The following is a 23,788-nucleotide window of genomic DNA, read 5'->3' as shown; positions in this document are numbered from 1 at the left end:
AGCAAGGGAGGGCTTTCACACTGGGGATTTTGCAAAATTAGCAATCGCTCCAATATGAGAGCAATGCCCCCAGTGCCATCGTAGCCTGTGTGCATGCCAGGAAGAATTAAAAGATTCTTCTCATGCCGACCCTTCTCTCCTAGAGGAACCTGTGTTATTGTCAGTTCCTAGTGAGCCTGCAGGAGAAAGTTCAGTTCTAATCATGATTTGAAATGTGCTGATTTTTTTTAAGTGAGGTAGAAGTATAAAGAACGGTTGGAAAAACACAGCTAGAATTGATCAGCTTTGCCAGTTGTTTGAAAGCAGGAGGCAACGTTAGGTGTGTTTGGGGTTGTCCATCTTTCCTGAAGAATTTTCATCTTTGCATTGGCCTAAGATAAGTTTCTACCAGACCGTTTCCTGTGTGCCCTCGAACCGTCACCAGGTCCTTTATTGCCTCTTCCAATAATAGAAATTATCCAGACAGTCAGCAGGCATAAATGTCAATAGCAAACAGTCATTCATTATGACCGAACGTCAGGACCACTGGGAGGGATTGGCCCCCACAACTTCCTCAAAAGGTTTTGGAGCCTTTGGTTTCAGAAGGGAGGTGATGTTGTGGTTCTCATTTACCTCTCAGCTGCTAAGTGTGCGCTTGCGATTCACTTTGTTGTTTGAAATTATCATTTTGAAACAGACCTGTTAGTGTCCTCCAAAGATAATGCCAACACAAAGTGGCATTGATATTGAGAAAGTCACCGGATTGAATAATGAATATGACTTTTAAAAGAGGAAAAAGGAAGCATCATCTTTACACTTGAAATGTTCACATTTCCCAATATTTTTTGATTAGTCTATTTAAATATTTAGAGTTGAAGAATGTGGAGTAATAGTTCGCAATAATGCATTTTATAAATATAAACAGGAGGAAAGTGTTGCCTTTCTCCAAATTCACTTGCCTTGCCAGGAAGCGTCAGTCATGCTAGCTTAGAAAGTATTCAATTTAGGGGGAAAAAGGAAATCTGGGGAAAGACTTCATTTGCTATAAACTTAACTTTAGCAATTCAAAATAAAACTCCTATAGCAAATATTTCCATACCTTGGTTATTTTGAATATGTCAAGTCCCTTAATTTTCATAGCCAAAAATTGAAGCGGGAAAGGGCATTCAGGTTTTGTACACTGATTTCTGTTACGAAGAGATTTCTGGCGTGCGGGAGAATTTCCCAGGGCACCTGCCGGCAGCTATCTTGATAGGAAAGTCAAATCAAACGGCTAAAGATTCAATTTTTGGGGAAACGTTAACCATGTAGATGTAACTGATCAAATTAAAAGGTAAAGTAACCAGCTAAGAGACACATTAAATAATTATTTGCATTTTCCTGGGAATTGATTACTTCATCTATGATACCTAGTTATTACAGATGCTGATATTTTTTATTTTATAAAAACAATGGTGAGTTTAAATTATGTTCTAATTGTCATGAATCTTAACAACCATAAATGAATAGAATAACCTCAATTTTAAGCTTATCTGATATTAAAACTCTATACTTGCCACAATTTAAAATCCACGTGTGTATGAGAGACTGTTAAGGAATTTAGTGTGGCTCTATTAGGTGCTAACTGAAGACACTGACAGAAGCACAAGGTAAGGGCTGTTCTTATGGGGGAATAAAGACAATTAAGATACATGCTGACCCTGTTGCCTGTCAGATGCGTATTTCTACCTAGTCTAAGGGACAAGAATCATTTTTGAAGATGCATGATAACTTTAATTTCCCAGTGTGGTGACATCTGGCTCCTTTTCTATGTGTGACTCTGAGAGTGACTTTGGCATGATATGCTTCTTATCAAAATGATCTGTGAGCTCTGAAATAAAGCATGCCGGGGCTACCACTGAAGGGTGGTCAGGACACAATACTTTCATTAAGTATAATCCATAGTCTTGGAAATGATATTTTTTTCTGTAGAAGTTATATTTTAGTTACTATGCCACAAAGGCAGCTGTATGTATCTTTAAAAAAAAAAAAAAAAAAAACACCTTCGTCACAGAATATGACTTTCAGGTATTATTTGGCAGGAACCTGTATTTCTCTCTCAAATAAACTTTAAAGAAGGTTCTCAGAATATGTCTCCCCACACATCAATCCTACTTCTGTTATTTTACTGGGACCTAGTGTTGTACAATTTTGTGTTTTCTGTGTTATTTTTCAGCAGGGACTTTCTTTTAGAAATTATTCATAAATGGTTTAAATTTTTTATGTAAATGAAAAATGCCAAAATTTGACTCTCATATAAGAGAAAAACAAGCTGCTGAAAAAAAAAAAACTATGAGAAGGACAGGGAAAATCTCTCTCATTTTTACATCGCGGCAAAGCAACGTTCATATCCCATGACACATGCCAGACACGTCAGTGTGTCCCGCGCCTGCCTCACTCAGAGGCGTTCGGAAAATAGTAGCACTTGGAGGTTATGGAGACTGTTACCTGCCATCACTAAATACCCCTGGAGTTCATTTCTCACACAGTACCAGGAGATTGCACTTTATTTTATAGTTCTTGGTAATTATGTACAACAAAATCCATATTATGTGGTTATATAGAGTAATATCTGCCTGTATTAGAAAATAGCTCAATGTGTACGTATTAAAAAAGGATACACTTTAACCAAAAAATAATAAAGAAAAAGGGTTTTTTTTGTTAATATCCGTTCAACCAGGTAGATTAAGAGGCAGAACTCAACAAAACAGTAGAGTATATAAAAATAAATCACTTTAAAATATGCCAATAATTCTCTGAACCCTGGAATAACTTCAGGGTAGTATGTATGAGGAATTTCTTAAATGTTTTTAGTTATTAAAACAGTGCATATATTCTGCTTTGTCTATCTGTTTTTCTCTCTTTTGTGAATGTATTTTTTTTTCTAAAAGAAGCTATGCATTGGCATGAAAGGCATTTTGCAAATGAAATATTTTTAATCTTCTACCCATTACTGTGTACAATGTGTAAAATGACTGAAGTTTCCAGAATTTTTCTTTGAAAAAGGCTGTTTCAAGGCAAACATATTTGGAAATAGATTGAGGGCCAATCCAAAATCAGCTGATTCCACAAGGTACATTGGAGGCTGGGGTTTTAGAAGCGGCGTGTCAATCTTCACAGAGTGGAAAGGGGAAGGGGCTTCAGGGGTGACTGGCCATGCAGGATCCGCAATCATCCGGGGCCGGTCGGGTTGCATTTGAGCTTTGGCACAGGACACCTCTTTGAGGCATTTGACAGCAAAATAAGTTATCTTGAAATTTAGGTATTGTTCTAGAGTGGTTGGTTATACAGAGTTTTAGAAACTTGAAAATACATTTTGAGCACGAGGTAGCTCTATAAAAGTAAAGCCATGACTCATGGGAAGGTGTGGAGAACGGGCAGGTTGCTGAATGTTGTGAAATGCAAATAAAAAGTTGGCAAAAGGAACAAAATAAGTCGAGCAGATGGATGGCAGACGCCGGCTTGCTGTGAAATGAAAATCCATGAAAAATTAATGAAATAGAAAGATTGTGCTGAGGATGAGGGCAGAGCGGCCGTGGGCTCCGCAGCCCCTGCAATGCTACAGTCGTCCCCGCCGGTGTCACCCTGGCTGGCCAGGGACACAGTCCTGCACCGCCGGCCGGAGCCCCACATCCTCCGCTTATCTCGCTCACTGACAGCTCAAGAGGAAGGGCTGGATTTACTGATAAAATCAAATTGATTCAACCGTTAACCAGCACCTAATTGTGTGGTGCTTTTTTTCCCCCTTTCTCTTTTTAAAAATTTTGTATCAGTGCCTCTGGTTTCTAGTGACCCATGTAATAACAGTAATTGGAGATTGCTTCAAGGGCATTAGATATGACGTGCGAGTTTGAATGTAGAATAAAAATATGGGATTCGTGTATCCATATCTAAACAGGGGTGACTCGGTTCCTGCAGAAGAACCATCTCAGAAGCGCATTACGTAAGGAAACATAGAAAAGGAAATTTTTTTTTTTTTTTTGAGGCATGAAAAGATAACTTATGCCCTAAAAGCATTTAATGTTCAATTTTAAAACTATACATCTGTATAGTATGATATATATACACACATACATATTATATATATACATGTATATTACTATGTATGTATGTATATGTATATACACGGTAAAAGCAGCTGAAACATTTGAGCAATTTTTATACCCCCTACTTCTTTTTCCAAAATAGTAGAAAATGAATGTCAGTATTTTTGCAATATGAACAATTTTGAACAACTCCTAAAACCAAAATTATTGTAATACTCTGTTTCTCATCATTTAAAAATATTATATCAAAACAGATATTGCAGTTTTAAATTTGGTTCTTAATTACTAGCTCACAAGATTTCTAAAAGGATAATTTTCCACATTGTAAGCAAGACTTTATAAGTGCTTATTGCCATTTTGAAACCGAATATACGAATAAAGGTGAATGAATGCCAAGTGAACTATGAAAAGCCTGGCTGCCCTTCACAGAATATTCAAACTACTGTGTGTTGATGCCGTCTCTGTGGTTAGGATAGCTCAAGAAAAGCAGCAGGGGCTGCACTCTGCCTGGTGTGTGGCCGAGAACCTGATTCGTGTTGTTAAGTATTTGCAAATAGAATGAAACTAAATTAACCTCTATCTGTACAATTAAAAGTTTTTTCTCCACTCAGAGAAACAGAGGCTGCTTAATACTTGATTTTTCAAAGGCGATTGTTTATTCCTAGCTTTTGATATAACTCAATTAAGAACATACCAATATCAAATAGAGACATTACATTCAAAAAGAGAAGAAACAATGCTTATAAAATTTTTGGTTCACAGGGACAGCTAACGTGCTCTGGTGAGACTTTAGAAAACAGGAAGGGAAGGGAACATTGAGAAATTTAGGACCTTGGAGCCAGAACTCCTCTCTGCTTGCATATGTTACTGTCTTAGTATCAAGACATCCCTGTTCAGCAATTAAAATTGGGCTTTTATTTACTCGTTTATTTGATTTAAAAGGAATGGAGGACGGGGCTATTTTATCTGATTGCTTGCCTGACATTGTTTAAGCAACGCCCTAGCAAACAGGGCTCGTAGGCCCTGAATCTCCATCTGCAAGTTTATGAGTGAATCCATTTTCCCGGAAACCACATCCAAATATTAGCAACTTAGAAACTGACATGTTTGCTTTTCAAGAGATCCACAATCTCCCTCCAGCCCCTAAAATTTGGTCATTTGCAAAGATAGCAGACTTTTCTGAAGAACGATCTATATTTGGAAATAAAGAGTTAATCTGAATTTCCCAGGCCCTCCATATGCACTGTGGATATTTAATCACCTTTTATTCTAGTCATAGGTATTGAGTAGGAAGAGCAGCAAAATAATTACATTGTATTATTTTATTGATGGTGAATGAATACAGTTAGTATCTAGTTTCTGGCAGGAAAATGTCTGGTAAGTCCTCTTTGGGTTATAAAATACATATATATTGGAATTTAGTATCATCTGTTTTAAATTACAAAAATGATCAATAGTTAACGTTCAGTTTTTTAATCTGAAAACATAGCAGAACAGATCATCTAAATTCCATATTTATATTAAGGAGGGGATTTTATACTTAAGAAATAGTGTCCAATAAATCATGCATTCCTATAAAAAAAGAAGAGTAACATGTGTGCTTAAGTTCGAAGAGAAAGATGATATAAATGCTCAGGTGACTTAGATTTTAAGGAAATTTATTTCAACTCTCTAAGAGGTGAAATTTTTGAAAGTTTTTTCAGCTGTGTACACTTAAAATTGTGGCATTCAGGTGGCTTCGTTGAGCTGCTTCCAAGGCAGAGGGCAACTAGGACCCTCGTGTTTGTGTAACTAAACAGCTAATTCAGTTCTGATGCAAATGGTCACACCAGCTGAAGCCTCACGCGGAAGAGGGCCACACTGTGTACAAGCAAAATCTCCCACGGATCAGAAAGAGAAACCCAGCAGTGGGGATGCAAAGGTGAAAGGGGGCAGTTATTATTTTTGGTGTTAAGTACCGTCTCACTCCTACGGATCTCTAACTCAAATCTGGCCACGTTCATCACTGCACGTCTTTTTAACGGTGCCAGCAACAGATCACTCATTTGCAAAACAGATCCAGGTTTCTCTCTGTGGCTGTTGTTTTGCCATTTGGATCATAAATAAAATGAACATTGCTCAGAATCTATTTGTAAACCCACTTCTCTAGGGCCTCTAATAGATGGAGTGAATCTTATGCCCAAATGATAGCTCAACACCTTCAGGTGATTTGCACATAATGGAAAGAATTCCTTTAAACCCCTTAACCAGGATGTGCTTTGGAGAATTTATCGATTTAATTAATCTGTGCTGCTCCATTTATTTGAGATGAAGTCTTTGATTCTTGTTTCCCACTGCCGACAGACAGAAGCTCTGCCTCATCATTTCCCTAATGTCTGATGTGATTTCTCAAATACGTCTTCTCAAAGGTGGTATTAAAATAGGATGGGGAGCTCAGTTCTCAGAAACTGGAGCCTCCTCCTACCTGAAAATGCTAACCCAAGTCAAATCTCTTCTTATGGCTAAAAACAAACGAGTAGAGGGTCCTTACTGTTGCTAAGAAGCAGGACTTGAGACCCATAGCAGGAGAGCTCAAAGCATATACCTAGGGCGCTGATAATGATTAAACAAAAAGCAGGTTTTATTAGTTTAAGTCCACCGGAAGTATAAAAATGTCCTCTCTTTAAAATAATTGCAATATTTCCTAAAAGTGTAATTGCATTTGGGAAAAAAATGCAATTTAATAAACATGACAGAAACATCAGTAGAATAGATTCTGACCTCCTCCAAACCCCAAGTCTGGCTGGGTTCACTCATCCCTGTCTGGAGCAGATGCTGTGCTTGCATTGGGCTTATAGCTGTGAAAATAGCCACATTCTTTAAGGAAGTACCTGCCCTCTTTGTGTTAGACTGTGTTCAGGACTGAGGACAGAAATGTAAAGTATATACAAGCTCAGACACTATCTGATGTGTACAATTAAAAAGGACATTGTTTTTATAAATTTGGGGATCTACAAATGATTTGTTTTATTAAAAAACAATACCTTTTACTATTCCTTAGGTAAAGAAAAACATAGGTAGCCTAATTTAACCACAGACACAAAGATATTTTATTCATGCTTCAATTCTAAATGTTACTACTACAGATAACCTTTTTAAAGGACTATCCAGGCTCTCAAAGAATTCTAACAGAGTTTTCAATCCAAAATACATGGCTCAAGGAGAAATTTTGAAAATTCTCAGAATTCTATGCCAATTTTTTCTGAAGAAGAAATAATTTTGAGATAAACATCATTGTTGGAGTTCTAGGAAAAGTACTAGGATAAGCAGTAGCTTTTGAAAAAACTCCAAGACAGTAGCATGAGGAATGTAGAAACTTTGACAGCCCTGAGTGATACTGAACTGAGAGCAAAAGCTGTTGCCTCTAGAAGTATAATAGCTTTGATGTGTAGCAAAGCATTATTCCAACATCCTTATACTGTTTCACTCTCAGGAACTAAAGATGGGTATATATTCAGCACTGACTGACCTGCAGGGAAATATTTATTAGCCATTTAGGAAGTTAAGGTTCTTTGTTTTTAAGTATAACAAATGTGAGAGTTCATATAATTTTATGTAATCACCTGAGTTTTTAATCAAATTTTTGCTTCAGGGAAGTTAAATCATGACAGGGGCTCTTGTATGTGGGTAATGAATAGAAGGCATGCCGTTAACATGTGCACTTGTGTGTTTGTGCAGATGTCTAATATATGCACACGACGTAGAGGGATGACAGACTCAAGAGGTAAAGCACAAAAGCGTTTATTCAAATAGAGAAAGTTGAAATATTAAAAGACTCCCCAGCTCTAGAACAGCAGCAGTCTAATATAAACATTACAAAAATCATGTAGAGAAAGAAATCTTCACTAAACCTCTGAGAGCACAAATTCTTTGGGAGGCAATGAAAAAGAATGTTGGTTTGTGACTGTGTTTTAGAGTATGGAGAGAAACACTAATTGCTTAATTGTAAAAATTGCAAAACATCATTGTTTAAAGTCTCCCTTTGTGCATATTTTACACCAACTGAAATAAATCTTTTTGTCATTGCCACTAATAAAAAAAATCTATCTTCTTACATCATAAAAGAGAAACAACAACCACATTGGTGTGAAGGAAGGGATTTTAATGGAAAGAGAGACAAAGAATAACTTCCAAGTCTCTTCCTGTGCCTGATTAAAGTTCATCTTTCTTGCATTTTGCTTTATGTGGCTACCAATACAGAAAGAACACTTGATTTTAAAGTATGGTGCGTGCTATCCAATTCTGCTCTGTTTGCAATTTTGCCTTAAACATTATATGTGTCTTTAGACAAAAACTGTATTGGGCATGAGTCTTATTTATTTATTTATTCATGTGTAAATCTATCTCCAGTGCCTACCGTGAGACAGGCAAAGAGTGAGGCATCACAATGACATGAGCAAAAGGAGTGGACGCGGCCCTTCCTCCTGAGCTTCTATTGTTTATGGAGATACAGAGGCACACACATGAAATCCGAACAGGGAACAAAAATAACCTTCCGTGATCTCAACACTATATATATATATAAATTATCATCAGATGGGCTTACAAAAATAGATTTCTATTGTATTTCCTTTATTATATCAAATGAAAGTTCTTTGTAAAACTAAACCGTTAAAATGTAAACCCCTTTAAGTTTGAACATTTCTATTCTTTCTACAATATCAAAACATAATAGCTACTCAATTAAAACCCACTGAGAAAACTGATTGCGTTTTTGTAATAAGAATTTCTTAAATAATCGGAACTCTCTGGGAGAGGGGAACATTTTCGGGGGAGGCTGTGGAGAGATGGGCTGAGCTGTCGTCTTTTACACAGGGCAGCACTCAGCGTGGAGTAGGGTTTGGAGGTGGCTTCCATGACCACCTTTGGGGTGACGAGACGAGCAGAGAAGACATCTTCCTTGGTTTTGCTCTGCGGGGCTCCCCGCAGGTGTGGGTGCTGGTGGTGCTTCCTCCTTTGTTGGGATTTCTCAAGAATGGGGGCCAAAATCCACATCTCTGGGCTCCCAGAAACCAGCATAGAGATTGTCTCGCCGCATACCACGAATACATGCTTGTTGTAGAATTTATTATCAGATTTACATTGTACATTTACAAAGCGCCCTGTCGGGTTTATTTTTAAGCCACAGTTATGTAAATTGGAGTCTGTCCATTCAGCAAACATTTACTGAACACCTTTCGTTGTCAGTCACTGTGCTACATGGTAGAGATTAAGCAGGAACAGAAGCTCTAGAACATGTTCTAAAAACGCCAGAGAGCAAGTCTGAATGTGGTTTGCCTTCTCCGTGGTCTCTGTTGAAGATGGGCGCCCTCGCTGTCCTTCCCCGGGCCCTCTCCCTGGCCCCTCTGCTGTGCTTCCAGCGTGAGCCCCTGAGGTCTCACTGGGATGCACACACTCCTCCCCACACTCCTCCCTCCTGAATGCACAGCTGCTCTCCAGTCTCCCTCACCTGCAAGCAGGTCCCCAGCTCCCCATCTACGGAGAGCCAGGCACTGCCCAGGGCCCAGGACCCTCTGGCTTCTTGCAGCTCAGGGCAAGTGCTGCCTGCCTATCTCATGAAAAATCCAGGCAGCTGGGGAAACCGAGGACTCTGACTCTCAACAGAGCATGGCCTCGTTCGTGACCAAGGACGGCATCTCTTTGCCTGGAGGTCGGTCATGTGAAGCAGGATACACACTCATCTGTCTCACACGATTTACAGAGTCATCCATAGAGTCACAGAAGGTGCTGGCAGCACCACGTCCACTCAATACTGTGGATATCGGATAGGGAACGGAAAAGGCGACAGTCACCGAGAGTGAATGGTCCCTTGTTTCTATGTAGACAGCATGTCTCTTGGTCTTATCTTATTAGATAACTTTGGAATCATATCAATCACCCATCATCCAACTATCTACCATCTACCTTACTGATCTGTCATCTATCACCTAGAATCTAAACAATCTATCGTCTGTTCCTTTTCTCTCATACACACTAAGTAAGCAGGAGACATATGTAGAGGCTACACCCAACCGCACTGTAGAGAATAAATAAAATTCTGTCATATGTGCTACTTGCCTAGGCTCTGCTCATTTTTGGCCACAGGAATATTGGCTGCAGCAGTTGGGCAGAGATCCTTACCCGTAATAGTATTTAGTAATACCTCAAAACTTGAACATCAGGGAAACTAAAAATGCGAGTTGCTAAAATGGAAATCAGTCAACAGATTGAATGCTGTATACTGTTTGTACATATTTATGCGTAATCACTGATAAACACAGTAGAATTCTGGGGTTAGCCCCTGTACTCTTGACTATGAAAACATTTTATCCGTAGTCCAGTGTGGCTGAAGAAATGGCCTTCATGCCTCTCTCCCTGGGACTTCTCACCTTCCTTCGGTTCGGGATGAGCTGATTCCTTAGTGTTTCCCAGGATAGCTTCACCCGCACCTCTAGAAAGGTTAGTGTCTTGTGTCAGCGTTCTTGTCACTCATAACAAAAAACGCATCTGCGGCTGAGGACATTCAAACTTCGGATACGAGTGCGGCAGCGTGGCCTTCTGTCCTGGAAGTGAATGTCTTTGCTCCCTGCTCTCTCGGGTGTTGCCCCGGGTGGGTGGGTAATTCCCCCGCTGTGGGGTCCTGGGCGTCTCTTCTGGGTGGTGGGGGGCTTTCCCTGCTTCAGGGTCCTGGACGTCTCTTCCCGGCGCGGGGAGGGGGTCTTCCCCCACCGCAGAGTCCTGGGCGTCTCTTCCTCTGGGCTGCAGGACTCACTTGCGAGTGTTTTTCATGTGACTCTGAAGCGGTGACATGTGATTTATTCTGATGTATTTTTGCAAGAAGGAATGACATTCTAGTCTGGGCTCATGTCAGAAAGAGGCCCCCCTACCCATGATGGAGAAGAAATAAATAGAACCGCGTGTGTGCCACAGCCATGTGACATCGCGAGACCACTCCGGTTCAGGAGTCAGGGACGTGCCCCTTTACTCACATTCCAGGCAAAATATATTCACTAAAAATTCATGAGATTGGATGTATCTATTTTACAGCACGTTAACGCGGCCCCTGAGGTTAGCACGATGCAGGGAGGACATGTCCTGGCAGGTTCATCTGGTTGGGACTTTCCTTCTCTGCAGGGTCCATGCGCTCAGTCAGGTGTGAATCAGTGCAGTGCGTCTGTTTAACTGATTGTCCGTTTGGCCCTTAGGCAATAGGAACTAAAGATTAATAACTAATATTTACTGAGCCCTTATCCTGTCCTAACAGCTTCATGTGCATTGCCTCATTTAATCCTCCCAACAACACTACAAGGCAGTGACATTTATTGTCTTCATTTTACAGCGTTGGCGTGGAGAGGTTAGAGCAAGTACCTGTGGCCCCTCATCAGGCATTGTGGCTGTCCACATTCTCCCTACGACACCCCTGCTTATTAAAGTTCTGTGGCCCCCACCCTAGGTTACATCCTCTCTCCCACAAAGGGTAGACGTGGCTAGGGTCCCCCATTTTGAATATGGAACTTCCAGACCAATTTATTCTTTCCTCTGGTTCTTCTTTTATTGCTCTATGGGACCTGAAGCTCTTCCAGGACCCCACCAGGCTGTGGCTCACTGAGGCAGAGAGCACAGTGGGACCCTGGCCATGGAAATGAGGAGCATCATCACTTTCTGTCGGGGACCCAGGATGACAGGCAGGCCCTCCTGCTGCTGCGCACACAAGGAGCCTCCGAGGCTGCTGGGGTTTGGGGGACTGGCTCTGATGGAGATGCTTTTGGGGGCTTGGTGCATCTGTCCCTTGGGAACGAAGATAAACCAGGCAGGCTATGTGCCCTGACCTCTCAGGGAGAAGAGTGCTTTCACCTGATCCTGTGAGAGTGTCCTTCGACACCACCAGGACACAGATAACAGCTCTTTACAGTTAGAATAATTAGCCAGGCAAGAATTGTGCACCTCATGGTTCTGTATGGGCCAGATGCAGAGATGGGTGCAGCTGAAAAGCCAGCAGCAGAAAAAGCCCCAGTCCTGAGGACACACAGGCACATGCATGTGCTTTTAATCTTGGCTGCACGCTTTTCAGCTGTATGTTTTCAGCTTCATTTTACCTTGCGCACCTCTTTAAAGACCCCATCTTCAAATATGGTCACACTGTGAGGCACCACAGGTCAGGACTTAAATGCATGAATTTTGGGGGAACACCATTCAGCCCATGACAGAGAGAAAACCACAGAAATTCACCTTCGGAAACATTTTCTGAAAACTAAAGCTTACGGTTAGGGTATCAGTGCCCTTTTCCCAGAAACATTATCTCTACCTCAATAAGGGCCAGAAAATTCATAAATCCCACCTTCATCCCTGTAGCATCACTGCTAGAAAACCATCACGTCTCCAGGGTGAGAAATACTTTTGGAATTGAACTAACCTCTGATTAGGTTCCCCTTGATGTCTTTGCCACGTGGTGCCCTCTAACAGGGTGGTTAGAAGGTAAGTAGTTTTATTTCATTCCACCTTTTGATTTCTCCCTTCCTGGCCCTTTGGAAGGTGCCCATTTCTCATTAAAGATGGAGAGAACCGTGGTGATTCTAAGAAGGGCTGCTGTCCCCTGTGCAGGTGGCAAGCGGACCGTTCTCACTTCTCGCTGACAGTTCTTTTCCCAGGTTTGATAAGGTCTGCTTCATAACTCTCTTATGGGGAGGTAAAAAGGACCTAAGACACCATCAACTAAACTGTGTCTCTATCTCCTGGATGAGGGAAGTGAGGCCCAAAGAATGCAAGTGGCTACCGAAGAAAGCGAGATGGTGAGAGCAAGCCTGAATCAGAGCCTGGTCCCTCCGGCCCCACCGGCTGTTCTTTGCTTAAGAAGGGACCAAGGCCCTGGAGCAGGATTGAACAGGTGGGTTCAGAAAGGCCACGGGGAGAGCTCAGGTCCCCAGAGGACAGGAGCACAAAACTCAGGAGCAGATGTTCTCTGGGCAATGTAGAGCGAATCGCCACTTAGAAAAGACACTGCTGGAAGCTCTTCCATGTTGCTGTTAAAACAGAAGTCTCAGAAACAGTGTGTTAGCAGTGGCCGTAAAAGCTACATCATAGGACCATGACACACAAGGGCCTTCTGAGAAGGGGCATGCGCTCCCGTTTCCAGGGAGATACTGAATAGCGTGCAGCCCAGCTCACACCTTAGTGACATGTGTTGTCCACACCTGTGTGTGCATGTGTGTGTATGTGCATGTGTACACATGAATATGAATATAGGACACCTTAGTGTGTATGTGCACACCTGTGTGTGCGTGTATGTGTGTGTGTACACATGTATATGAATATGGGTAAATATACACGTATGTATAGGCACACTCCACTGTGCTTTTGCTTGCTTAAGTAATACACGTTTTTGATTTGAGGGTTAAAGGAAACTGCAGAGGTCGTTGAACTAGATTCAGATAGGCAAACGTCTTCATTTTTCAGATATCTATATAATAAGTACATTGAATTCCAAAATAATTATTAATCACAGCACAAGGTAAAAATCTTTAAGGAATGCAATGAATTAAGACGAGGGGTGAGGGAATTTTTCATTCTATTTCCCAAGAGAAGAATAGAAAAAATAGGAAGTTGATGTGCTACCAAGAAACGGAATGAAATACAGCACATTATTCATTCGATAAAACCCGGAACTAAATTTGAAAATTACAAAGTGTGCTTATCAGGTTGATACTCATGCTTTGGGTTACCGGGCATGTAGATTTACAATGAGGACCTACTGCGTTCCCTTGTGTGCCCCTGTGTGTTTGTGTAGAGGATACTTTCATCCACTTGCCTGCATAAACAAGAAGTCACTTCTTAGATTAACTGATTCAGAGTCAGTGCTGGTAAAACAAAGTGGAATTGAAGCCACAGGTAAATGTGCATGTTCTATTTTAACCTCAGTAAGTCAGTGAATGAAAAGTAGATTACAGAAATAAATCTGCATGCACAATAATAGCCAGGACATTTGAACTCACTCTAAGTGACCAGTGCCCCAAATGTCAATTTAAAGGTTAAATAAGTGCGACCCTCCCAAGAAAACATGTTGTAACGTTGTAGCACCCCCACAGTGTAACGAAGGGTTTACAGTGAAATAGAGTCTACACAATTTCATGACACACCAACTGACTAAAATAGCTCTTCCCATCTGTTCCCAATCTTACTTATAAAGTCGTTTTACATAAACACTCACAGGTAGGACTTCTGATAGTTAAACATTTTAAACCTTTAAATATAGTAAACAAATCCCCGATTCTTGGTGGCATTTTATTAGCAATGAGCCAGTAAGTATCAATCTCTGATCACCAGGAATGAGGGGTGCTCTCATGCCGCTGAACTTCGACAAGGGGGCAGATGGAGACGATTTCTCTGGACCCCTCTCCAGTCAGTCCTGTGGACCCCAGGAGCACTGACCAAGGGCTGGGATGAGGCCAAGGCTGAGGGTAGATGAAAGCACAAATGCTGTGTCCCTGAGATCCAGAGCTCAGTCCAGAACAGACACATCATTGAGATAATATTGTATGTGACACTGAGGCCACACAAGGCCCTCTGTACATTTGGCTTAAATGGGCTTTTGTGAGCTTTGCTGCCGTTGCAATAATGCATAAAATTCTTTATGTGTAAAATACCTTCCTGTGCAAAGTCCCAATTGACTTCCAACAGAAATCACTTGCAATCTGTGTACCTAACACTAATGTGTCCAGCGTGTGTGTGTCTTTGCACTCCCTGTGATGTGTATGCACACAGCAAGCCCACCTAATTCAGTATAAATAGAATCCCACTAGGTGAAAGCTACTTGGGAAAATATAGAAAACACGCTGACAGTAAGGTGGTACTTTTAAAGTCTGTGTTTGATACTTGTTCTTTCTGAATTATTTTATGTCAACGTCAACATTCGTTTGGTCTTATCTGAACACATACAGCAAAATGTCACCTCTTGCAATATTTTGGTTTGTATTCTTCTCTTTATAGCTTTATTTTTAAAAAGTGACTTGAATTATTTACATAATTTTGATGATGATGAATTAACTTCTCTGCTGGGGCCAGGGCCCTTCTTTCTGCTGACATCCCCTCAAGCAGAGGAAGGCCAAACTTGAGCTGGAGATGCAGGTTTGTCAAATTAATCTCTTCCTGCATTTCCTTCAAGCGAGTGCTGGCCTTGTTTTCAGTTATGTTAACTGTATTCTTCCTCATAAAGTTCCACAATTGAATTCCCATTTTTGAAATCATCTTCATCCGAGCAGTGGGAAGATGCACATTCAAAGCGGCTTTGTGCAGGGAGAGGAGGTGGGTGCCTTTGCTTTCTGAAAACCTTCCAGACAGAAGCACTGCAGCGAGCCAGTGGCGCCAGGACATCGGGCACACACGTTAATAAACGTCTTTTATACCAGCTCCTCTTCTTTTTCCATATGATATTAGTTGCTGCCCCCAAATTTGCCTTGAGTGAGCTTCCTGCTCCTCCAAATGTTTTGCCACAGGGTTTCCACGTGTCCAGGGGCCCAGAGGCCCCCGCATGCTCCTGCAGTGTGGGCCAAAGTAGAAATAATGTCCCATTTCACCCCATCATCCATGAGACAATACCGATTACTCTGCTAAATATTCAAATAAAGACTGCCCCTAGATTTCTCTTTTGGCAATTTTTTTTGCCATCTACAAGTTAACCTATTTTTTTCCACTTTTATTTTAGATTCAGGGGATACTCAACTTTTATTTCAGATTCAGTTAACATGTGTGAGTTTCTTCCCTGAATAAATTGGGTGTCGCTGAGGTTTGGTATAGGATCTTCTCAGCCAGGGAGTGAGCATAGTACCTGGCAGTTTTTCAATCCTTGTTCTTCTCCGGACCCTTCTAGTGTTCCCAGTGTGTGTTGTTCCCATACCTGTGTCCATGAATACTCAGTGTTTACCTCCCACTTATAAGTGAGAACATGTGGTATTTGGTTTTCTATTCCTCTGTTAATTTTCTCAGGGTAACAGCCTCTAGCTGCATCCATGTTGCTGCAAAGAACATGATTTTATTCTTTTTCATGGCTGCATTATATTCCACAGTGTATGTGGACCTCATTTTCTTTATCCAATCCACCATCAATAGGCACTAGATTGATTCCATGCCTTTGCTATTGTGAATAGTGCTGCGATGAACATATAAGTGCATGTGTCTTTTAAGCAGAACAATTTATTTGGTGGGGGGTGGGTATACCCCCAGGAATGTGACTGCTGGGTTGAATGGTAGTTCTGTTTTAGGTCTTTGGAAAAGTTGGCTGAGCTAATTTACATTCCCACTAACAGTGTATAAGCATTCTCTTTTTTCCATAGCTTTGCCAGCATCTGATACCTTCTGACTTTTTGTCATAGCCATTCTGACTGGTATGAGATGGTATTGCATGGTGATTTTGATTTGCATTTCTCTAATGATTAGTCACGTTCAATGTTTTTCACATGCTTGTGGATCGCATGTTTGTCTTCTTTAGAGAACGTGTTTGATCATGTCCTTTGCCCATTTTTTAATAGGGTTGTTTGTTTTTTGCTTGTTGATTTATTTAGGTTCCTTATAGATTCTGAACCTTTGTCAGATACATGGTTTGCAAATATTTTCTCCCAATCCGTAGGTTGTCTGTTGCTCTGTTGATGGCTTCTTTTGCTGCGCAGAAGCTCTTTAGTTTAATTAGGTCCCATTTGCCAATTTTTGGTTTTGTTTCTTTTAGCAATTTTTTATCAAAAGGCCACTGTATAAAATGCTTCTGATTCAATGGAGCTAGGGAACAAATTAGTTTATTCTATAGATATCATATATTCAATTTAGAAGGCATTGTTTTTTCTGAAATCCAAAGATTTGAAATGTTGCACTTCATGAGAGAAGAATCAGTGGTGTAAAATGATGGGATCCCAATTTGGAGAGCAAGAGAATAGAGGAGTGTGTGAGACTGTAGTGCCCTGGGCATTGTAGAAGGTAAAGGTGGGCCAGGCATGGTGGTTCACACCTGTAATCCCAGCACTTTGGGAGGCTGAGGTGAGCCAATCACCTGAGGTCAGGAGTTCAAGACCAGCCTGGCCAACATGGTGAAACCCTGTTTCTACTGAAAATACAAAAACTAGCCAGGTATGGTAACACACACCTGTAATCCCAGCTACTACTTGGGAGGCTGAGGTGGGAGAATTGCTTGAACCTGGGAGGCAGAGGTTGCAGCGAGCTGACATCACGCCACTGCACTCCAGCCGTCTCAAAAAACAACAACAACAACAACAAAAAGAAGGTAAAGATAAACTTTTAGGCAGATTATACAGCTAAGAAAAATAGGAAAATCTGACCACTACAATCGAGGTAAATTTCCAAAGTTCCTTAATTCACAATCAATTGAGATGGAAAGGCAAAGTCTCTCATCTTGCCGAGAGGCTCAGGGACAGTCCCAGCCACAAGAACCTGCCTGGGAGCTGGAAGCCAGAGCCTGGAGCCCCCTCCTGGGAGGGCAGAGTCAGAAACACAACCTGGGGGCCTGGCCTCTGCCTGTCAACTGGGTCGTGCTGCCCCCCTAGGTAAAGCAGCCGTGAAGACCCTGGCCCCTGCTTTAGGGATGCTCAGAGCCGTGTTGCCAGCTGCAATCTCTAAACGCCGCTCCCTGTCTCATTCCTCCCACAGGGGCAATGCTCAGACATGGAGGCGGGGCAGGAGGTACAGGACAGCCCAGCATTTGCAGAGAGACTCGATTGTGGACTCACACGGAGGCATGCACACACACAAAAGGGCAAGGGTGACATTTCGGGTCAGCCCTGGGGGCTAGCATGTTCATTCCCCACCGTGTTCCCAGGGCAGTGGGGCCACAGGTGCCCAAGAACACTGGGAGGAAGCAGCCTCCCTACCAGCAGAAGCCTGACCGTCCATGCATGTGGGTGGGACCACGTTCTGGATGATTCCTCCAAGTCACAGGCAAGGAACATGGAGAGTGGGAAGAGCTAAGCTCCAGAATCAAAAAAGTACGACCAAATATAAGTTTCCCCCAGTTGTAGTTATTTGAATTCCATATTTTCAGTTTCTGCCCCGGCCATCACCTTCCTATGATGTGTGTTAGGTTTTCTCAGCATGATGGAAACAGCGACTTTCTGTTGCTGCTGTGTTTGTGCCTCTTGGTTTCCTCCTCCTCCCTCCCTCCTTCCCTCCCTTCCTTTCTTCCTTAGCATTTTTCTAACTATATTATTCATAGGCTTGTGAGTTTGATGTGCCTGCATTATAGTGTTCTAATTCCCATTAAAATATAAGATGGCATTTAATACATGTTTAAAAGTTTTTCATATGCCACCCAAAATCAGCTTGCAAGCCACCCTTAGCCATACATATTGAAAGACTGGTGTCTGGGTGTGGGGGCTCACACCTATAATCCCAGCACTTTGGGAGGCCCAGGCAGGTGGATCACTTGAGGTCAAGAGTTCAAGACCAGCCTAGCCTACATGACGAAACCCCATCTCTACTAAAAATACAAAAGTTAGTCCAGCGTGGTGGTGTGTGCTTGTAGTCCCAGCTACTCGGGAGTCTGGGGCGGGAGAATCTCCTGAACCCGGGAGGAGGAGGTTGCAGTGGGCTGAGATCATGCCATTGCACTCCAGACTTGGTGACAGAACGAGACTGTCTCAAAAAAAGAAGAAAGAAAGAAGGAAGGAAAGAAAAACGAAGGAAGGAAAAAGGAAAGGAAGGAAGGAAAGAAAGGAAAGAGAGAGAGAAAGAAAGAAAGGAAAGGAAGGAAGAAAGAAAAGAACAGAAAAGAAAAGAAAGAAAGAGACTGGAGTCCCTTCTCGCGCAGGGTCTGAGAGTGAGGACCCGTCTGAGGAGTGGGTGCAGAGGGAGGTTCAGACCTGCGGCTCTGTCAGGATGGACTTGTCACTGACACAGGCCCAGCTGCCCTGGGGTCCCCAGGGCTTCCCCGACTCAGATCCCTGTGCAACCAAATACACAGGGCCCTGGACAATGTTTCTGCCCCAAAATTGCTTTGAGAAATACATGGGCCAATCTGTGTCTGCAAATGGGAAGAGCTCAGAGATTTAAAAACAAAAAGCAAAAAAAAAAAAAAAAAAAAGCACACTACAAACCCAAGCAGAGACAGAGGAGCCGCTTCCCATCTTGGTTGTGAAACACGTGATCAGAATAACATGTGATCAGAATAACATGTGATCAGAATAACTTGTGATCAGAATAATGTGATCAGAATAACGTGATCAGAATAACATGAATGTGTGCAATGAAGCATGCTCTCTAATGCTCTCTAGGAATTTTAGGAGTGCCTTTAGCCCTTCCAATCCCAGTGAATTCAAAAGGCCTGCATGTGGTTTATTGTTATTCAAGGTATATGTAAACTTTACGGTTATTTTGTAGACTTTTTTCTTGTAGATCTTCTCTACAGTATAGCTCCTTGATAGTCATAAGGGATATATACTCAGAGATCTCAGAATCCTAAATCTGCCAAAGCATCCATGGCATGCCACTTCAACTGTGTAATGGAGTAAAGTAAAATTTCCAAATCAACTTTCATGTAATATATATTTATTTTTTAAAGTTTGGGGTATTTTGCTTTATATAAATGTATCAGGTTGTTTTGCTGTAAGACTTCTTAGAGGTAACGCACATTGAGAACCCCCAAGGAAAAGAGACACATGCCATGTTTTCTAAACTTATCTCAACTTTAAACAACTGTTTTGGAGGGAATGATACATTAATGCCTCACTTAATATTAGCAATCAATGCAATAAAATTAGGAAATGCTCAAATGATTAATTCACAATATCAAGAACTTTCACTGGCTGCTTCATAATGGAGCTGTCTACCAAGTAATCTACAATTTTTACTTTGTCTGAAATGTCTATTGTCTTTCCAAGGATCATGCTCTTTTTAGATCTTTCACACCTTCTTCCTGACTGTCTCCAGCTGTATTGGACAAATGTTTATCATTTTCTGGCTCTTCAGAGTCTAAAGCATCTTTCTGCCTGGGGCAGTTACAGAGGCTGCCCAGTGTGTTTTTGGAGCTCAGCAGGTGTGCATGAGTCGTGATGGAATGTACAGGGAGAACTGAGTAAGCAGTCGGGCGAGGAGTATGCACAGCAGGTGTGCATGAGTCATTGTGGAACGCGCACGGTGCACCCAGTTAGCAATCGGGAGAGGAGTGTGCACAGGAGGTGTGCATGAGTCGTGATGGAACGCGCAGGGCACACTGACTCAGCGGGCGGGAGGGGAGTGTGCATACAGCAGCTGGGCGTGAGTTGTGGAATGAACAGGGTGCACCAAGTTAGCAGTCGGGCGAGAAGTGTGCACAGCACCACCTGCAGGCAGCATTCCCTGCAGCCCTGCTGCTGTTCGGAAGGGTGTGCAGAGCTTGCGCCAGCCACTGAGGCAGAGGGGTGAGCAGCGGTGTTGGAGGCCATTGCCTAACTGTGCTGCAAGGCAGCTCTGGAACCTTCCGGAGCCTCCTGGCTTCCTCAGCGGCACCAGCTGGTCGCTCCAGGAGTGCTCTGTGTACTTCTAATACCTGTTTTTGTTTTTGTTTTTTTGCATAAAATTAATGGGTTTAGTTTCAACTGCTTGAAAATAAGAACTAGCATATGATTTTCTTCTCAGGACCTTTGTAAGATGATAGAAGAAGGCCAGATGAGGAAACACTGGTGAGAAGCAGATGTGGAACCACTGGCTGGGTTTCTGCTTCAGGATACTTAAGCTTTCCTACATTTCCTAGATTTGGGGGTCAATTTTCATCTACAATTTTTTTAAATCACATTTAATATTAAACAACCTTGAAAGTTTCTCAATCAAAATCTATTTGTACAGTAAAAAACAAATATTAAAAACACACTTAGTGACTTTTATTTCATTTTCAAACCCTACTTATTTCCAAAAAGAATTTCACAGGATTGCCATAAAAGGCATAGATAAAGTTCTGCCAATGGAAATACACTTCCACGTAGACTGGAAAAATCTGGGGATAATAAGACTATTGCAACTGAGCATCGAATGAAATGCTGGGCTTCCTGGCAGTCAAGGCAAAAAGGGAAACAGAATGATTTAGAGACTTCTTGCTTTCTAATAAAAGCAACCAAACCAGGATGTCACACCACAGAGAGAAAAGAATTAGGTTATTTGACTTAGGAAAGAATGAGAGCAGATATCACTAATTGGCTATGATGATGATAAAAGCCCCTTGTTGGGAACATCACACACCGGGGACTGTTGTGGGGTGGGGGGAGGGGGGAGGGATAGCATTAGGAGATATACCTAATGCTAAATGACCAGTTAATGGGTGCAGCACACCAACATGGCACATGTATACGTATGTAACAAACCTGCACGTTGTGCACATGTACCCTAAAACTTAAAGTATAATAATTTTAAAAAATAGCCCCTTGTTAAGGCTTCACTGAAGCATCTGGCTTTTGAGTAGCTGGTTCCAATGGGCTGTCCAGTGAGAATCAGCTATAAAATACACCCCTGGGTAAATGAAAGCCCTCACAGGCTTCGTGGAGCCACTTTCTAAGGTTCAGATGGGCACGGATGTGTCAGGTCTGCAAAGGCAGGTATTGATCTTCCTGCCTTCTGTGGGAGGAGGGTATGTATCTAAAAGAATGAAAGACAAGTAAAGTTACTTAAATAAGAAACATAAGAAGGGAGTTAGGACCCAGGCGTAGCTTTTACCACTTCAGGCTGAATACAGAGAAGACTGTTTCCACATTCTGAAAGTGTGCACAGATTCAAAAAGGCATTAAATGGGCGTTGGCTGGTTCAGATGCGTGCCTAGAGGCAGCTTTGACCAATGAAGTAAAGGCTTCATGCAGATTAGACATGCTCAGTAAGTGAATTATTTTAGCTTTGGTTTTTAATAAATGAAAGAGAGATTGGCAATTAGCCTTAAAAAATACATGGTGCCTAAATTCCGTTTGGTCCTCATGCCGGTTCTAGATAGCGACACTCACACGTCGTTTACGGAGGTGCTTCACAATGACAGCTGCGAACGCAATCTAAATCGTCCAACCTTCCTCCACCCAGTGCAAAATTCATGTGGAACACTGACTGTAATATTTCAAATCCTGGCGTCAATTTTTAAATAGAAACTGCTGAAATGTCCATTGGTTTTTGTTTGGTTGGTTTTAGTACCAATCCAGTCCAAAGAGTACCTTCCTCTGAAATTTTCTAGACACGTTTTCCCATCAAATGTTTTTTGAAGCAATGAAATATCTTTTAAGTGAAATCACACACAGAGTCTCTTTATGCAAAACAAGGAACTAAGCTTTGCCCTCAGAGCTCCAGGAAGCACGTTCAGTAGACCACTGGGTCCCCAGGCATCTGACCCTGGCCCATGCTTGTATGGCAGATATCATTTTATGTACGTCTGTAACCGGAGTCCTCCAACTTGGCGCTCTCTGTGTCCTCAAGGAAGTGAGGACATGCAATACATTGACAATTTGCTTTAAAGTGTCAAGGGTGACTTTGATCTTTCCATGTTCCCCACGGGACCGGAGCATGGCACTTCACCCATGGAGGTATCCAGGTACTGCAGCAGGAGGAATTCTGGCCATGGCGCTTGTTTAACAGGCTTCTGCAGCCCAGGTGCTGAGGTTCACTACACTCTCTTCCCATTGCTTTTTGACCAAATAGAAGAGTATTGTGGCTTTGCCAATGCTCTTTGAACCCCCTGGAACCCACGTGAGAAAGTCTTGCAGCACCGTCCTGCTGTGGCCATTTACACCCACGGAGCCATGGCAGCTCTGTTTGTATTTATCAAGAGTGCACTGGGCTCCTTTCCCACCTCCTTCACCAAGCTTCGCCCCCTGCCCATCCTACTGTAATATGCTGGGAGCAGCACTGCCCGGATTAATGTTCTAATGTTCTTCTCTAACTCTCCACATGGCGAGACAGTTCTGTGGTAAGGTGGTTGGATGCCGGTCCGGGGAAGAGAGAATTTCATCCCAAGCGCTGTAGGATCCACTTAAGCTTTCTTGAAACAGATCAACTGAATGGGACTTTGCAGGTTCTGCCTTCGCCTCCCATCACCCACACCTCCCCAGGTATGTGCGGTCCCCTCGCCGGCACCCAGGTGTGAGCGGTACCCTCCAGGCGCCCCATGTCTGCAGCCTCCATCGCCTGACTCCTAACAACTATGCTTTTTTTCTCAAACTGGCCACTATTAAAATCTGATGTCAGCTAGTTGACAAGTGGAAATGATTTGATAGACTATTTCACAGGGAAGTACACATGACTGATGAAAACCCTGCTGTCGGGACTAAGGAGCTTCGTGTTAGTAGGAAAAATCATTTTTGACCAATGCAGTGAAAGTAATGGTGGTGGCCGGGTGCTGTGGCTCACGCCTGTAATCCCAGCACTTTGGGAGGCCAAGACAGGCAGATCATGAGGTCAGGAGATTAAGACCATCCTGACTAACACGGTGAAACCCTGTCTCTACTAAAAATACAAAAAAATTAGTTGGGCGTCGTGGTGGGAGCCTGTAGTCCCAGCTACTCGGGAGGCTGAGGCAGGAGAATGGCGTGAACCCGGGAGGCAGAGCTTGCAGTGAACCGAGATCCCGCCCAGTGCCCTCCTTCCCTGGGGGACAGAGGGAGACTCCGTTTCAAAAAAAAAAAAAGTAATGGTGGTTTCAGTAACTGGAAGAGCTTTCTGGGTAGGATAAGGGGGGCTTTCCCAATCCTCCCGGGTTGCTTCCCACAGAC

General features: G+C 42.4%; 1 protein-coding gene across 1 annotated transcript in view, besides 1 other annotated feature; it reads left to right on the top strand.

Moving 5' to 3' along the window:
* The window catches only part of ADARB2 (adenosine deaminase RNA specific B2 (inactive)), a 560,213-nt gene that overhangs the window by 1,211 nt on the left and 535,214 nt on the right, over positions 1-23,788 (top strand). The gene's annotated exons all lie outside the window — the stretch shown is intronic.
* Positions 20,031-20,310: an enhancer, noted in NCBI's record as "active region_2904". NCBI's record gives its function as "activates an Ori minimal core promoter by ATAC-STARR-seq in GM12878 lymphoblastoid cells {active_cell/tissue: GM12878}" and the evidence as "EXISTENCE:reporter gene assay evidence [ECO:0000049][PMID:35858748]".

The sequence above is a fragment of the Homo sapiens genome, chromosome 10 (assembly GCF_000001405.40).
Source record: "Homo sapiens chromosome 10, GRCh38.p14 Primary Assembly".
Taxonomy (NCBI): domain Eukaryota; kingdom Metazoa; phylum Chordata; class Mammalia; order Primates; family Hominidae; genus Homo; species Homo sapiens.
The sequence above is the reverse complement of the archived record's forward strand: the minus strand, read 5'-3'. Positions and strand labels throughout refer to the sequence as shown.